Source organism: Homo sapiens, chromosome X, assembly GCF_000001405.40.
Source record: "Homo sapiens chromosome X, GRCh38.p14 Primary Assembly".
Taxonomy (NCBI): Eukaryota; Metazoa; Chordata; class Mammalia; order Primates; family Hominidae; genus Homo; species Homo sapiens.
Window position 1 is genome coordinate 117,244,581 of NC_000023.11, and position 18,817 is coordinate 117,263,397.

Below are 18,817 nucleotides of genomic sequence, written 5' to 3' on the forward strand. Positions count from 1 at the left end.
ATTCCATTATTTATCCTCCAACTTCTACTGAGAAAGAATAAATAAATAAGTATGGTTTAAACTGCAGCATAAGGAGTTAGGACTTGATATGAGACAAAAAATGTCCAAAGTATTGCAGCTATACTAGGAGAAGCATTGACAATCTTCCTTGGATATTTTTTAAACAGGAAATCTCCCTATGTGTAAAAGGGTTGTAGGTAAAGGCACAAGAAAGAGTCTTATTTGGTGGTCCCTCCTGGCCAAGAATATAATCCATTCCACTGAAAATAAGCAAATGAAATATTCTCCAGAACCCAGCTTCACTGTGGAATGAGATATCTGGCAGTTAGAAATGGTCAATTCATGCACCACAGGTGAGCAGCTCCCACTGAGGTTCAAAAGCAAGCTGACCACTAGAAAGCTCTGGATTTGTCTCCAGAGCATTAGGATTTTTATTGCTTTATGATCCATCCACATCCATATAAAATGATTTATTCCCTTGGTATATGCAATATAATACCAAAGAACTAGCACTGGAACAGTTTCAGGGGTCAATTAACCCAAACCCAGAATTCTAAGCAGCAGAGATTAGTTTTTGAAATGTTTCCCAGTAATTAAATCTAGCAATGAAGGTGATTCCACCACTTTCCTTTTTTTCCAACTCTTTTAATTATTACTGAGTCTAACTTCCTCACATGTAAAAAAATCACTTAAGGATGGTTATGAGTATTTATATACACTGAGGTGTGATTGGGGATTAATTGTCTCCATGCTTCTCCAAGATTTCCACGGGCAAGTATGACCCTCAAAAAGATTATTGCATTTTGTTATGAGGCTCAGTTAAGAATCTTCCACCCTACATAGCAGATAAAACATTTTAACAAGAAAAAAGTACTTTAAGCTCAGTTATAGCCTATATAATAATACGTATGTGCTTATGACAATAGGGACGGAAAAATGTTCCTATTTCTTTATGCATCTTAGGTTCATTGGCTGGCGCCCTGTAAATTAGACTGACAAAAGATAAATTAACAAGAGAAAAACAGAAGTCTCAACAGTGGTTAGAACTTGGGTTTATATACTACCTTAAAAAGAATACATTTTGTAGAGAAACTGACAAGACAAAGGAAAAAGACTTTAAGCTTCTTGGAGTCAGCAAATTGAGGGAAAGTAAACATTTTCGGGAGCTAATGTAAGATAAGGGCAAGTTAGTAAAGGTTCATTATATAGGTTCCTCTGTTGCCCTTTGTGGGCTGATAAGGGTCTAGAGTTGTCTCTGGTGATTAATTTCTGTCCTTCCTCGTAGAGAGAGGAGAGGGGCCACCTTTACAAATTTATGTCCTGCTTTGGAGCATATAGGGGGAGGAAAGAGTCCTATTCTTGTATCAGCTTTTTCTCTATTACCTTGAGCTCAAAATAATCCTTATTCCAGAATGGCATATTTTGAGGTGGTATATTCTGCTATCCTTCATGACCAACAACAAGGACACTCACTATGGAAATAAAAACAAATGTTTCTATCAGTCTGAGAAGAAGGAAACCAAAGGATACAGAAGAATAGCTCAGTTTTTATAAGTTGTGGAAGAGCAGAGGACCTAAAATGTAGAAAGACAGGGACTGCTGGCTAAGAGATATGGTCTCTAACATCTCTGACATTTGATCATTTACATAAGGTAAAATGCATTTTTCCAAAGCTAACACTGTGCTGTCATAAGCACTTGGTACTGCTGAGGATGACTCTGAATCCTCTACAAACTCGAAGGGAAAAAGTACCTCTAAGAAAGATGAATCAGAAGTAGATTGAACTGGTCAGCTGGGAGAATCACAGGATCATAGAGGTGGGAAGGAATTAAGAAATTAGACCAAACCTCCCATCCAATGCAGAACCCTCCCTACAACACCTCCAATTGGTGTGCATTCAGTTTCTGCTTGATTACTTCCAGTGACTAGAACTCCTCTGAAGAAGGAGAATGTAAAAATATTCTTCCTTTGGTTGAACAAGAATCTGCCATTCATAACTTCCATTCACAACTTCCATTCACTGACTGTTTCTAACCACAGAAGTTATAAAAGATACACACATAACCCCACTTTGATCTGGCAGTTCTTCAAATATTTAAAGACAGGCCTAGTTACCTTGCAGAGAGACAATATAAGAAATGTAAGTTTAAAGTCAATCTAAAACTGCAACACACATATACAGAACTGAACATGCTGTTCCAGATATATTCTGACCAGCACAATCCACAATATAGACTACTAAGCCCTCTTCCTGATAGACTTCTATTAATATAGCGCCTAAAGTTGTCCTTTTATTCCCATCATATCACACTAATGTTGCATACCAAGTAAAATCTGTTTTATATATAATCTTGCTATTAAGCCAAGAAGCTCTTATCTTATCTTTGATACCTTAATTTCTTGAGCTTTAATGAAACACATTATAGACAACATTGAATTATACCTGAGCCCTGTGCTCCTACAAAACAAATTAGGTTAAAGAAACTCCCCACTCTTGTATTATGGAAAATGATTTACTGCAAAAAACTACCCTTCCCCATGCGACTTAGATAATACTCACAGATGCCCCTTTGTTTTCATATGGCAAGGCCAGACACAGACCCTACAAATTCCCATTCTTTTCATAAATGATTAATTGAACTGGTTATGCCTACCGATCTTTTGGAATGTAATGCCTCTTAACCAAACTTTGTCTAAAACTTTTTCTCCCAGGCTGCAGAACATTGGCCCAACCTCAGCCTAGACAGCATACAAACTCTCTCTAAGGGCCCTCATGGAAAATAAACCAGCCTCAGGGTAAAACCTTCTCTGATTTACTATTCCATCGCGCCACAATTTCAACCTGCTTCCCTACACCTGGTTCTTTCTAGCTATGTATACTCCTCTCTATAAAAGAAAACTCTTTTCACCTTACTCTTGAGATACTTTGTAGATATTATGGTCACAAATTTCCCCCTATTATAATAGTCCCTATCTCCCTGTTACAATAGTTCTGCTCCTCCCATCTTGCAAAATAATCCTTTTGAATAAAGTCTCTCTTTATTAAGTCCAGATTTGCTTTCATTTGACATTATGTATATTTCTACTCAATTACATCCTGTGTGGGCACATGGCGTGGGACTGGTGGGCAGCTCTGTCTGCGGTCCCAGCGCAGGATCCACTAGGCGAAGCCAGCTGGGCTCCTGAGTTGAGTGGAGACTTGGAGAACTTTTATGTGTAGCTGGAGGATTGTAAATGCACCAATCAGCACTCTGTGTCTAGCTCGGGGTTCGTGGATGCACCAATCAGCACTCTGTATCTAGCTAATCCGGTGGGGACTTGGAGAACTTTTATGTCTAGGTGGAGGATTGTAAATGCACCAATCAGCACTCTGTGTCTAGCTCAGGGATTGTAAACGCACCAATCAGCACTCTGTGTCTAGCTAAAGGTTTGTAAACGCACCAATCAGTGCTCTGTGTCTAGTTAATCTAGTGGGGACTTGGAGAACTTTTACGTCTAGCTAGAGGATTGTAAATACACCAATCAGCATTCTGTGTCTAGCTCAGGGATTGTAAACGCACCAATCAGCACCCTGACAAAATGGACCAATCAGCTCTCTGTAAAATGGACCAATCAGCAGGATGTGGGTGGGGCCAGATAAGGGAATAAAAGCAGGCTGCCCAAGCCAGCAGCAGCAACACACTCTGGTCCCCTTCCACACTGTGGAAGCTTTGTTCTTTTGCTCTTTGCAATAAATCTTGCTGCTGCTCACTCTTTGGGTCCGCACTGCCTTTATGAGCTGTAACACTCACCGTGAAGGTCTGCAGCTTCACTCCTGAGGCCAGCGAGCCCACGAACCCACCGGGAGGAATGAACACTCTGGACAGGAGGAATGATCAACTCCAGAAGCACTGCCTTAAGAGCTGTAACATTCAGCATGAAGGTCTGCAGCTTCACTCCTGAAGCCAGCGAAACCACAAACCCACCAAAAGGAAGAAACTCCGAAAACGTCTGAACATCAGAAGGAAAAACTCTGGACACACCATCTTTAAGAACTGTAACCCTCACCACGAGGGTCCGCAGCTTCATTCTTGAAGTCAGTGAGACCAAGAACCCACCAATTCCAGACACACCAGTACCTGGACCCAATTAGAGTAAGTAAATTTACTGAGGCTCCAGAGGAAGGACTTCAGGACTCAGACCTTAGTTATAGATTAAAATAGGTTAATCACTAATGTATGTAGATGAATGCACATTTACAAGTAGACTTATAGCTTAGAAGTATATAAGCTCTCTAAAACTTTGTAATTTGGAGTTGGTCTGGCAATAATTTCCAGGCCTTCTCCTTGTAACCAGTTACAGAAATAACAACTCTCTTTTTCCCCAGTTCATCTGCATCTCGTTATTGGGCCATGAGAAATAACACCCTGACCCTCAGTTTGGTCAAGGAACAATTCTTTAAAGGGATTCACAATCTTCTGTATTGAATGGTTTGTTCTCTCTCCCCCTCCACCTCCTATTTCCCTTGCCCTTGCCCTTCCCCTCTCTCTCTTTCAAAGAAAAAGGAGATGAGATTTGATGTTGTGTAGGCCAAAACAAACTTACTGATGTGGGCCATTTACAAACTCCCTGGGATAACCCTTTGCCATTCAGGAAAATCCAATAGTTTAGCCTTTTATTCTCTCATGGTTCGGGGCTGACTCATTCTAATGGCTGGAATGTTACTTTCACAATCAACACTGTACATTTGTATAGGGATTTGTAAACTTTTGGATTTTGTTTTGAGATATCTTAGCAAGAATATGCTGCCTTTAGCTTTTATTGTATTACCTTATTGAGCAAATATGGCTTGAAATCCATCAGCCATGGTGGACTGTGTTAATGCTTGGAAAAAGGTGTTTCCTTTCAACCAAACAAACATTTGCCTAGGTTGTCCTGCATCCAGTCTCATTCCCTTGATATATGCTGTGAACGCTCACCAGAACTAAACATATTTTAACAGTCAAATTATAAAAATCATAAATACATATGAGTATACTAGCTCAAGCAATAACTAAAATTACAAACTTACACACATAGATTATAAAGATAAAATGATGAAATTTTCATTGAGGGCATTTCCCTTCTTAGGATATTTCTTGAAAGTATGATTAGCTCAAGAAGAGGCCAGGCATTTTGATTCTATAATCCTCTGACCCTTGGCACTATAAACACACACCTCTGAAATTAAAACTCTCAGGTGGTATACAGAAAAGAAATACAAGGTACATTTGTCTCTCAAGGAAATAAGAGAAGTTTTAATTGTTCTTTCCTATACTTTTTGGCATGCATTTATGTGAAATTCTGCCCAGATAAATCTGTTCAGACTATCATGGTGCTTACATGCATGTATATCTGAAGGTATTATTAAATTGTGTCAGCTCTCTCTTCTATGTTGGTATGAAGGGGTCTTTTGTGGGAAGGATTGTTTTATTCCCGCATTAAGGAGTAACTAGAGTTTATAATCTCTCCTTAATAGGGCATTAATGAAGGGTTTTGTTATTTTGACTAGAATAGTCCTAAATCTCCACATTATTCCAGATTCATTTCCTTGTTCTATTAATCTGGTTCTATTGCCCCAATTCCTGTCTCCACTTAACATTGCACAATGATCTGATTACTTTATGGTATTGATATTTCTGTGCTAATAACAAAGTATCTGCAAACTATCTATCTGCCCTTAAAGTCACCCCTGACTCCATACACATCCACACACAAAGACTGTTAATATAAAACATAGCTAAACTGTCATCGTTCTTATTGGGTTCTTATTGCCAAAGGAACTTTTTTTTTTTTTTTTTTTTTTTTTGAGGCAGGGTCTCACTCTGTTGCCCAGGCTGGAGTGCTGTGGCATGATCTCAGCTCATTGCAACCTCTGCTTCCCAGGTTCAAACAACTCTCCCACCTCAGCCCCTCAAGTAGCTGGAACTGCAGGTGTGTGCCACCATGCCCAGCTAATTTTTGTATTTTTTGTAGAGACAGAGTTTCACCATGTTGCCCAGGCTGGTCTTGAACTGCTGAGCTCAAGTGATCCACCTGCCTTGGCCTCCCAAAGTGCTAGGATGACCGGCGTGAACCACCACCTCTGGTCAAAGGAACATTTTTAAAAGTGATAATATTAGGCATTCAAGTTTTCAGGTGGATTAAAAAATAAGCAATTCAAATTTGTTTGCTATGAAAACAATATTTATTTATTTGATATACAATAGTCCTTCTCCATCCACAGGAGATATATTCCAAGACCCTCAATGGATGCCTGAAACCCTGGATAGTACCAAACCCTAAATATACTTTACTGTAAAGAAGGCTTAAATTTCTCTAGTTTTGCTTCTGTTGCCCATGCTTTTGGGGTCATATCCGCAAAATCATTGCCTAGACCAATGCCATGGAGCTTTCTTGTTTTCTTTTAGTACTTTTACATTTATAATTTTAGATATTATATTTAACTCTTTAATTCATTTTGAGCTGATTTTTCTATGTGATGTGAAATAAGAGTCTAATTCAATCTTCTGCATGTAGATATCCAGTTTTCCCAACTACATTTATTGAAGAGACTGTCCTTTCCCCACTGTGTGTTCTGGGCAATTTTGTCAAAAATCAGTTGACTGTAAATGCATGAATTTAGTTCTCAGCTCTCTATTCCGTTCCATTTGTCTATGTGTCTGCTTTTATGACAGTATCATGTGGTTTAAATTACTATAGGTTTAGAGTATATTTTAAAGTGTGGTAGCCTGATGCCTCTCACTTGGTTCTTTTGGCTCAAGGTTGCTTTGGTTATGCAGGGTCTTCTGTAGTTCCATATAAATTTTAGGATAGTTTTTTTTTCTATTTCTGTGAAGAATGTCATTGGTATTTTGATTGGAATTGCATTGAGTCTGCACATCACTTTGGTAGTATGAACATTTTCATACTATTAGTTCTTCGAAACCATGAACACAGGATATATTTCTATTATTTTGTCTTCAATTTCATTTATCAATATTTATAGTATCTTTGTATAGGTCTGTCACATCCTTGGTTAAATTTATTGCTGTTTTATATTTTTATGGCTATTGTTAATGGAATTGTGTTCTTAATTTTGGGGGGATAGTTTCTTGTTAGTGTATAAAAATGCTACTGGATTATTTTTAATGATGATTTTGTATCCTGCACATTTACTAAACTGGATTATTAATTCTAATAATTTTTTGGTAGAATAGTTATGGTTCTTATATATATATATGAATATATCATCTGCAAACAGGCACAATAGAAACTTTTCTTTCTATTTTGAAAGCTTATTATTTATTTTCCTTGCATAATTGCTATTGCTGAAACTTCCAGTACTATACTGGATAGAAATGGTAAGAGTGGGCATCCTTTCCTTGTTCTGATCTTAAAGGAACCAATTCGTTTTTATCTGTGATTTTTAGGTTTTTGAAAATTACTGTTTTAAACAGAACTTTACTGGCACTCTTGTACTGCAAATGACTGATTTAAATGGGCAATAAGATGACAATAAAGAATAAAATACTTTGGCCATCCTTTCTAATGTGCCGCTGATTAAATAATACTGCATTTTTAAAAAGTGATTGAAGTATCCAGATATAATTGCATTTATTTACTCTCATCATGATCCTACACTACCTTCAATTGTTTATTCATTAATCTTTTTAACAACACTGTGGATTTATGTCTACAAGTATTAAGCTTTTTATTTTTTTATTATACTTTAAGTTTTGAGATACATATGCAGAAAGTGCAGGTTTGTTACATAAGTATACACGTTCCATGGTAGGTTTGCTGCACCCATCAACTTATCATCTACATTAGGTATTTTTCCTAATGCTATTCCTCCCCTAGCCCCCAACCCCCTGACAGGCCCTGGTGTGTGATGTTCCCCTCCTTGCGTCCATGTGTTCTTATTGTTCAAATCCCACTTATGAGTGAGAATATGCAGTGTTTGGGTCTCTGTTCCTGTGTTACTTTGCTAAGAATGATGGTTTCCAGCTTCATCCATGTCCCTGCAAAGGACATGAATGCATCCTTTTTTATGGCTGCATAGTATTCCATGGTGTATATGTGCCACATTTTCTTTATCCAGTCTGACATTGATGGGCATTTGGGTTGGTTCCAAGTTTTTGCTATTGTGAATAGCGCTGCAATAAACATACGTGTGCATGTGCCTTTGTAGTAGAATGATTTATAATCCTTTGAATATATACCCAGTAATGGGATTACTGGGTCAAATGGTATTTCTGGTTCTAGATGCTTGAGAAATCGCCACACTGTCTTCCACAAGGTTGGACTAATTTACACTCCCACCAAAAGTGTAAAGGCATTCCTATTTCTCCACATCCTCTCCAGCATGTGTTGTTTCCTGGCTATTTAATGATTGCCATTCTAACTGGAGTGAGATGGTATCTCATTGTGGTTTTGATTTGCCTTTCTCTAATGACCAGTGATGATGAGCATTTATTCATATATTTATTGGTCCCATAAATGTCTTCTTTTGAGAAGTGTCTGTTCATATCCTTAGCCCACTTTTTGATGGTTTTTTTTTCTTGTAAATTTGTTTAATTTTGTAGATTCTGGATAGTAGCCCTTTGTCAGATAGATAGATTGCAAAAATTTTCTCCCAATCTGTAGATTTCCTATTCACTTTGATGATAGTTTCTTTTGCTTTGCAGAAGTTCTTTAGTTTAATTAGATCCCATTTGTCTATTTTGGCTTTTGTTGCCGTTGCTTTTGGTGTTTTTGTCATGAAGCCTTTGCCCATACCTATGTTCTGAATGGTATTACCTCGGTTTTTTTCTAGGGTTTTGATGGTATTAGGTCTTATGTTTAAGTCTTTAATGAATCTTGAGTTAATTTTTGTATAAAGTGTAAAGAAGGGATCCAGTTTTTGTTTTCTGCATATGGTTAGCCAGTTTTCCTAACACCATTTGTTAAATAGGGAATCCTTTCCCCATTGCTTGTTTTTGTCAGGCTTGTCAAAGATCAGATGGTTGTAAATGTGTGGCGTTATTTCTGAGGCCTCTGTTCTATTCCATTGGTCTGTATACCTGTTTTGGTACAAATACCATGCAGTTTGGGTTACTGTATCCTTGTAGTATAGTTTGAAGTCAGGTAGCGTGATGCCTGTGGCTTATTTCTTTTTGCTTCAGATTGTCTTGGCTATATGTGGTCTTTTTTGGTGCCATATGAAATTTAAAGTAGATTTGTTCTAATTTTGTGAAGAAAGTCACTGGTAGATTGATGGGGATAGTGTTGAATCTATAAATTACTTTGGGCATTTTGGCCATTTTCACGATATTGATTCTTCCTATCCATGAGCATGGAAAGTTTTTCCATTTGTTTGTGTTCTCTCTTACTTCCTTGAGCAGTGGTTTGTAATTCTCCTTGAAGAGGTCCTTTTACATCACTTGTAAATTGTACTCCTAGGTATTTTATTCTTTTTGTAGCAATTGTGAATGGGAGTTCACTCATGATTTGGATCTCTGTTTATCTGTTATTGGTGTGTAGGAATGCTTGTGATTTTTGTACATTAATTTTGTATCCTAAGACTCTGCTGAAGTTGCTTATCCACCTAAGGGGATTTTTGGCTGAGACAATTGGGTTTTTTAAATATATAATCATGTCATCAGCAAACAGAGATAATTTGACTTCCTCTCTTTCTATTTGAATATGCTTTATTTCTTTCTCTTGCCTTATTGCCCTCGCTAGAACTTCCAATACTATGTTGAATAGGAGTGGTGAGAGAGGGCACCCTTGTCTTGTGCCAGTTTTCAAAGGGAATGCTTACAGCTTTTGCACATTCAGTATGATATTGGCAGTGGGTTTGTCATAAATAGCTCTTATTGTTTTGAGATATGTTCCATCAATACCTAGTTTACTGAGAGTTTTTAGCATAAAGGGGTGTTGAATTTTATCAAAGGCCTTTTGTGCATCTATTGAGATAATCATGTTGTTTTTGTCATTGGTTTTGTTTATGTGATGAATTAAATTTATTGATTTGCATATGTTGAACTAGCCTTGCATCCCAGGGATGAAGCCGACTTGATCATGGTGGATAAGCTTTTTGATGTGCTGCTGGATTTGGTTTGCCACTATTTTATTGAGGATTTTCACATTGATGTTCATCGGGGATACTGGCCTGAAGTTGTTGTTGCTGTTGTTGTTGTTGTTGTGTCTCTGCCAGGTTTTGGTATCAGGATGATGCTGGCCTCATAAAATGAGTTAGGGAGGAGTCCCTGTTTTTCTGTTGTTTGGAATAGTTTCAGAAGGAATGGTACTAGCTCCTCATTGTACCTCTGGTAGAATTCGTCTCTGTATCCATCTGGTCCTGGGCATTTTTGGTTGGTAGGCTACTAATTACTGCCTCAATTTGAGAACTGTTATTGGTCTATTCAGGAATTTAGCTTCTTCCTGGTTTAGTATTTGGAGGGTGTATGTGTCCAGGAATTTATCCATTTCTTCTAGATTTCCTAGTTTATTTGCATAGAAGTATTTATAGTATTCTCTGATGGTAGTTTGTATTTCTGTGGGACCAGTGGTGATACCCTCTTTACCATTTTTTATTGTGTCTATTTGATTCTTATCTATTAGTCTGGCTAGTGGTCTATTTTGTTAATCTTTTCAAAAAAACCAGTTCCTGGATTCACTGATTTTTTGATGGGTTTTTCCTATATCTATCTCCTTCAGTTCTGCTCTGATTTTAGTTATTTCTTGTCTTCTGCTAGCTTTTGAATTTTTTTACTTTTGCTTCTCCAGTTCTTTTAAATTGTGATGTTAGGGTGTCAATTTTAGATCTTTCCCACTATCTCCTGTGGGCATTTAATGCTATAAATTTCCCTTTAAACACTGCTTTAGCTGTGTCCAAGAGATTCTGTTACCTTGTGTCTTTGTTCTCACTGGTATCAAAGAACATCTTTGTTTCTCCCTTAATTTCGTTATTTACCCAGTAGTCATTCAGGAGCAGGTTATTCAGTTTCCATGTAGTTGTGCAGTTTTGAGTGAATTTCTTAATCCTGAGTTCTAATTTCATTGCTTGTGGTCTGAGAGACTGTTTGTTATGATTTATGTTCTGTTGCATTTGTTGAAGAGTGTTTTACTTCCAATTATGTGGCCAATTTTAGAATAAGTGTGATGTGGTGCTGAGATGAATGTATATTCTGTTGATTTGGGGTGGAGAGTTCTGTAGATATCTATTAGGTCTACTTGGTCCAGAGCTGAGTTCAAGTCCTGAATATCCTTGTTAATTTTCTGTTTCACTGATTTTTCTAATATTGACAGTGGGGTGTTAAAGTCTCCCACTATTATTGTGTGGGGGTCTAAGTCTCTTTGTACATCTCTAAGAATTTGCTTTATGAGTCTGGGTGCTTCTGTATTGGGTGCATATGTATTTAGGATAGATAGCTCTTCTTGTTGCATTAATCCCTTTACCATAACATAATGCCCTTCTTTGTCTTTTTGGTCTTTGTTGGTTTAAAGGCTGTTTTGAGACTAGCATTGCAACCCCTGCTTTTTTTTGCTTTCCATTTGCTTGGTAAATATTCCTCCATCTCTTTATTTTGAGCCTATGTGTGTCTTAGCACGTGAGGTGGGTCTCCTGAATACAGCACATGGATGGGTATTGACTCTTTATCCAATTTGCCAGTCTGTGTGTTTTAATTGGAGCATTTAGCCCATTTACATTTAAGGTTAATATTGTTATGTGTGAATTTGATCCTGTCATTATGATGCTAGCTGGTTATTTCGCCCGTTAGTTGATGCAGTTTCTTCATAGTGTTGATGGTCTTTACAATTTGCTATGTTTTTGCAGTGGCTGATACCAGTTTTTCCTTTCCATGTTTAGTGCTTCCTTCAGGAGCTCTTGTAAGGCAGGCTGAGTTTATTTTTCAAATCAATAGACCAAAACTTGCAATAAGCAATGATAGACAAATAAGAAAATCAATTCTAGTGATAGAATTGAAAATATTTCACCTGGTAGCAACAGAAAAGTACAATTTTACTTCCCATCTCTACAAAAAATACAAAACTTAGCTTGGCCTGGTGGCGTATGCATGTGGTCCTAGCTACTTGGGTGGCTGAGGGAAACCCCACTGACCCCGGGGCAGTGAGACTGCAGTGAGCCATGATTGTACCACTATGCTCCAGCCTGGACAACAGAGTGAGACCCAAAAATTGCTACTTCAAACTTATTTGGCATCCAGCAACATGCAGGACAGTTGACTACTTGAGTAAAAAGATGAATGGTGGTGTAGTTCCAAGCAATTTGGGATATTTGACAACCTTAGCATGGGTTTAATTTAACGAAAAGGGTCTACAATGTTAATGATTAAATCAAAATATGTGTGTGTATTTGGTGACGGGGGAGAGAACGGCTTTATTTTGAATTGATAGAAGGAAGGAACCTAATTATAAAAGTATTTTCAATTTGCACCCTCATGTCTCTAGTATGTTCTTATGTATGAAAAGGTACAATATTCATTGAAACTCTTCTGTAAGTTGTTGAGATCTTATTCTCAGGTATGGTAGCAATCTAGGATATATTTATGTATGTTTTGAATAACTAAAATAAAAAGAAGTGATGTTGGAACAAAGAGGTGATTTTTATTGCTTTTCTGAGTTAAATATGATCATACTCTTTATCTCCCTCTCTTGAGCACAGATGCATAAATAGTGGCTAGAAATGACTGCAAATACATAATCTTGCTTTAGAAATTCACAAATTGAAATATTTAAAATAAATCTGTTCCAACTTTTTTTTTATTCTTCAGCTTTGTCCTTCTGTAATTTGTTATTTATAGCCAAAGCTTCAGGGAAAATTTTTAAGTCAACTTGCAGTGTAGATTAAGCCACTGAAAAATAGTGATTGTGAGATGTATTCAATAGCATTCTGTACAAGAACTCATTTCACCACCATAATGATGAGATGCTGATATTTGGCAAAGCAATTCCATAGATTTATAGCTTCATCATCTGCTTTACTGATTGCTAGTCTCCCAAGGACAAATGGGCTTTCAGACACAATTGTAAATATCCAGAATAAAGCAATGATATCTCTACTCAGAATAGTTATGCCATAATTAGAAAAAAGTTGCTAAATAAACTTAATTGAACATTTAAAGGTCTCTATAAAACATTTCTTTTAATTTTTTCCCTAGAGGATCATGCTGGGTTCTTATTTCAAAATATTATCCAATCTTTCATTGGCCATCTCTCTTTCTTCTTACATAGAAATTGCCTAGTTGATATTTGGTAAAGTATCACCATTTTCACAGAGATAGGTAATTCTCCCATTCCAAAGCCTCCAGGATTATTTATTTTTTCTTCTTCTTTTTTTTAATTCCTTAGGAGTTTGACAATAACTAAGTCCTTCAGGTATTAGATGAAGGACAGTAAGAGCTTGAGAAAAACACAAGAAACTTTAGAGAGAAAGATCAGTTTGGAAAAGAAGGCAAGATTTTGCTGAACCCTTAGAGCAATGAAAATAGCCTAGAAATGAAAGTAAGCAATGATTAAACACTAAAAATGGTTTCTTTCAATCACCTCTTGACATTTATATGGTATCATAATACCTCTGGTAAGTCTTCTCTGGTTTATGAAAACAATAATAGAACCACTGAAATTATTCAGCGATTTATTCATAAAGCAATAGACAAGTTCATTGAATGGAAAGCATTTTTTTAGTTATTAAAGCAGAAAAATTTAGCTGGAGGGATGCCTGTTAGGAAAGCACTGCACATATTCATAGCAGTATAAAGGGCTTGATGGACATTTAAGCTGTTTCCAGTTTTTTGCAAATACAAAAAGAGCTGCACACAGCCTTGTGCATGCATCTTTCCTCAGTTGGGTGAGCACTGCTGTAAGATACATTTCTAGGAATGAAATTGCTTGGTTAAAGGGGATGTGCCTTAAAAATATTGATAGATATTAATAAATTGTTCATCAAAGAGGTGTACATTGTATGAGTGTGATCACCATGGTGAATTGTTAGTGTTCTAATATGCTTCAATCTAATAGGAGGAAGTAGGAGCTGGCTGTTACTTTATGTTGGATTTCTACACTGAGTTAAATTTATGCTTTTCATATTTCTATTGGTTCTGAAAAATACATCATTTAAAAGATTTTAAAGGATTTTGTAAAACAAGTTTTAAATAAATCTAACATAAAATTCTTAGTATTTATCTCATTTTATTCTAAACCTAATCTAATATGCAGCCACTGATTAGTTTGATGAGAACATTTCTGTGACTCACCTTGGCATGTCCTAGTTTGGGGTTGGAGTCCTTTCTCTCAATTTTCAGGCAGGCTTCATTTTTAAAGGGCCTCTGGCTACTTCTCTGTCAGATGTGAGTTTTGGATCACCTCTAATACTCTCTCTTCAGTTGTCAGTGATGGAAAGGACAGGAATGGGAGAGAAAAAAAGAATAAAAATATTTTAAAAACCAACAATACCACTATTACTAAAAATAGCAGCTAGTATGCACTGAGTTCTTGCTTTGAGTCTAGCATTACTCTAAGTTCTTTACACGTAGTACCTTATTTAATCTTCATAACAATATATTTTGCTATTGAGGAAACTTTGATTCAAAGAAATTAAGCAGCTTACCTACAGTCACATATCTATTAAGTAGCAGATCCAGGACCCAAATACAGAAGGAGAATGGAGTGTTAAAAGATACATATTCTAGAGGAAAATTACCTAAAATTTACTGTGTGACCATAGTCCCAGTAGCCTAACCAAGCTAGGCCTCTGTTTCCTAATATAAATATTGGAACAATGGTTGTACTCACTCCATGGAAAGGTCACGAGAATTAAGTTCGTCAATACATGCAAAAGACTTAGATTATCTGTCTGACACATGGTAAGAATCATGGAGGTGTTATCCATTATTATCCAGAATCAATGCCTCCCAAATAAATATCCCAGAGCATTAGCTTTTATAACTGTACATTCTAGCACTGCTTGGACTATGTACTACAGTCAAAGCAATCATCACTTACCATCTTCACATAAACTGCATATCACTCTTGCCTCTGAGTTTAAAGAACATTTCTCCCCCTTTATTTCCCAGCCCTTGTTTTATTCTTTCTACCAAACTCCAGCTGTATCTAAGTACCTGTAATCAGATACGACATCAAGGAATGATTTGAAATTTCCTACATGCCACCACCTGTCTTCCTAGCCCTGAAGATACCACAAAGGCAGAAACCCTAATACTACCATTCAGCTGCAAGTAAGAAGCACAAAATTGATTATCACAACCAAAACATTGGCATTAATCTCATAAAGAATCCTTCAGTTTTACTTGTATTCATTTGGGTGCATGGGAAAGACTTAGAAACGGGGTTTTAACATTTTAACATTCCATTTGGAAATAGTTTTATTTCTTTATTGTAAATCTTCTTTCCCAGGCTTCGCAGATTTTGCATATCAAAGGGCTTTTGTTCTGTTTGATTATTTGTAGATGTAAAGCAAAAAAGATTTGTTTGGATGGAAGAGCTTGAACTAGGACATTATAGAAGACAGCACACTTAAAAGTAAGAGTCCAGAACTAAAGGGAATCATGGGAACCTATGTCCCTTGAAATCCATAAAAGTATTTAGGAATTACTTAAACTTCCAAATATTATGGAATTGAGTTCAAGAGAATCTTAATATAAGGGAGAAAACCCATATGATAGGGGATTGCATATGTCATTGCTGTGTCCATCCTGAAAATATGCAGTTGTTTATTTCATACAGTTTGAGGACTTCCATAAGGACCCTTTTCCTAAATCTTTAACAACAAGCCATGCTGCCTCAAGACACACTGTTATGATTATTTTATATTATTGGAGGCATTTATTCTTAAATGGTCTCTATTAAGTACAAATACTTCTAGAAAGAGACATCTGTTTGAGAAGGTGTAATGAATTCATTCTTTGATTACCTCTCTATTCCAAACACAAAGTTATGATGTATAAATATAAGACGAGAAAAACCAAAAGGATGTACTGTGATCAAAAATAATATGGTTATCTCTAAGAACCAGAAATAGGACAAAAGAAAAGCATAAAACAGTAAGTGAGCCTGAAGCCACTTCTAGGTTCTTTTTTTAGAATCAGGCAGAAAGGAACAGCTCTGGTCTACAGCTCCCAGCGTGACCGACGCAGAAGACGGGTGATTTCTGCATTTCCATCTGAGGTACCGGGTTCATCTCACTAGGGAGTGCCAGACAGTGGGCGCAGGACAGTGGGTGCAGCGCACCGTGCGCAAGCTGAAGCAGGGTGAGGCATTGCCTCACTCGGGAAGCACAAGGGGTCAGGGAGTTCCCTTTCCTAGTCAAAGAAAGGGGTGACAGATGGCACCTGGAAAATCGGGTCACTCCCACCCGAATACTGTGCTTTTCCGACCAGCTTAAAAAACGGCGCACCACCAGATTATATCCCGCACCTGGCTCGGAGGGTCCTACGCCCACGGAGTCTCACTGATTGCTAGCACAGCAGTCTGAGATCAAACTGCAAGGCAGCAGCAAGGCTGGGGGAGGGGCGCCCGCCATTGCCCAGGCTTGCTTAGGTAAACAAAGCAGCTGGGAAACTCGAACTGGGTGGAGCCCACCACAGCTCAAGGAGGCCTGCCTGCCTCTGTAGGCTCCACCTCTGGGGGCAGGGCACAAACAAAAAGACAGCAGTAACCTCTGCAGTCTTAAATGTCCCTATCTGACAGCTTTGAAGAGAGCAGTGGTTCTCCCAGCATGCAGCTGCAGATCTGTGAATGGGCAGACTGCCTCCTCAAGTGGGTCTCTGACCCCTGACCCTGGAGCAGCCTAACTGGGAGGCACCCCCCAGTAGGGGCAGACTGACACCTCACACGGCTGGGTACTCCTCTGAGACAAAACTTCCAGAGGAACGATCAGACAGCAGCATTCACGGTTCATGAAAAACCACTGTTCTGCAGACACTGCTGCTGATACCCAGGCAAACAGGGTCTGGAGTGGACCTCTAGAAAACTCCAACAGACCTGCAGCTGAGGGTCCTGTCTGTTAGAAGGAAAACTAACAAACAGAAAGGACATCCACACCAAAAACCCATCTGTACATCACCATCATCAAAGACCAAAAGTAGATAAAACCACAAAGATGGGGAAAAAACAGCAGAAAAACTGGAAACTCTAAAAAGCAGAGCACCTCTTCTCCTCCAAAGGACCGCAGTTCCTCACCAGCAATGGAACAAAGCTGGACGGAGAATGACTTTGACGAGCTGAGAGAAGAAGGCTTCAGACGATCAAACTATGAGCTACAGGAGGAAATTCAAACCAAAGGCAAAGAAGTTAAAAACTTTGAAAAAAATTTAGACGAATGTATAACTAGAATAACCAATACAGAGAAGTGCTTAAAGGAGCTGATGGAGCTGAAAGCCAAGGCAGGAGAACTACGTGAAGAATGCAGAAGCCTCAGGAGCCAATGCAATCAACTGGGAGAAAGGGTATCAGCAATGGAAGATGAAATGAATGAAATGAAGTGAGAAGGGAAGTTTAGAGAAAAAAGAATAAAAAGAAATAAACAAAGCCTCCAAGAAATATGGGACTATGTGAAAAGACCAAATCTGCATCTGATTGGTGTACCCGAAAGTGACGGGGAGAATGGAACCAAGTTGGAAAACACTCTGCAGGATATTATCCAGGAGAACTTCCCCAATCTGGCAAGGCAGGCCAACATTCAGATTCAGGAAATACAGAGAACGCTACAAAGATACTCCTCGAGAAGAGCAACTCCAAGACACATAATTGTCAGATTCACCAAAGTTGAAATGAAGGAAAAAATGTTAAGGGCAGCCAGAGAGAAAGGTCAGGTTACCCTCAAATGGAAGCCCATCAGACTAACAGTGGATCTCTCAGCAGAAACTCTCCTAGCCAGAAGAGAGTGGGGACCAATATTCAACATTCTTAAAGAAAAGAATTTTCAACCCAGAATTTCATATCCAGCCAAACTAAGCTTCATAAGGGAAGGAGAAATAAAATACTTTACAGACAAGCAAATGCTGAGAGATTTTGTCACCACCAGGCCTGCCCTAAAAGAGCTCCTGAAGGAAGCGCTAAACATGGAAAGGAACAACCGGTACCAGCCGCTGCAAAATCATGCCAAAATGTAAACACCATTGAGACTAAGAAGAAACTGCATCAACTAACGAGCAAAATAACCAGCTAACATCATAATGACAAGTTCAAATTCACACATAACAATATTAACCTTAAATGTAAATGGACTAAATGCTCCAATTAAAAGACACAGACTGGCAAATTGGATAAAGAGTCAAGATCCATCAGTGTGTTGTATTCAGGAAACCCATCTCACATGCAGAGACACACATAGGCTCAAAATAAAAGGATGGAGGAAGATCTACCAAGCAAATGGAAAACAAAAAAAGGCAGGGGTTGCAATCCTAGTCTCTGATAAAACAGACTTTAAACCAACAAAGATCAAAAGAGACAAAGAAGGCCATTACATAATGATAAAGGGATCAATTCAACAAGAAGAGCTAACTATCCTAAATATATATGCACCCAATACAGGAGCACCCAGATTCATAAAGCAAGTCCTGAGTGACCTACAAAGAGACTTAGACTCCCACACATTAATAATTGGAGACTTTAACACCCCACTGTCAACATTAGACAGATCAACGAGACAGAAAGTCAAAAAGGATACCCAGGAATTGAACTCAGCTCTGCACCAAGCGGACCTAATAGACATCTACAGTACTCTCCACCCCAAATCAACAAAATATACATTTTTTTCAGCACCACACCACACCTATTCCAAAATTGACCA

General features: G+C 38.0%; 1 annotated feature.

The window, feature by feature from the left end:
* Window positions 3,039-4,238: an enhancer, noted in NCBI's record as "BRD4-independent group 4 enhancer chrX:116381582-116382781 (GRCh37/hg19 assembly coordinates)". NCBI's record gives its function as "activates an origin of replication core promoter dependent on BRD2, P300/CBP, MED14 and CDK7 cofactors, and independent of BRD4, by STARR-seq in HCT116 cells {active_cell/tissue: HCT116}" and the evidence as "EXISTENCE:reporter gene assay evidence [ECO:0000049][PMID:35650434]".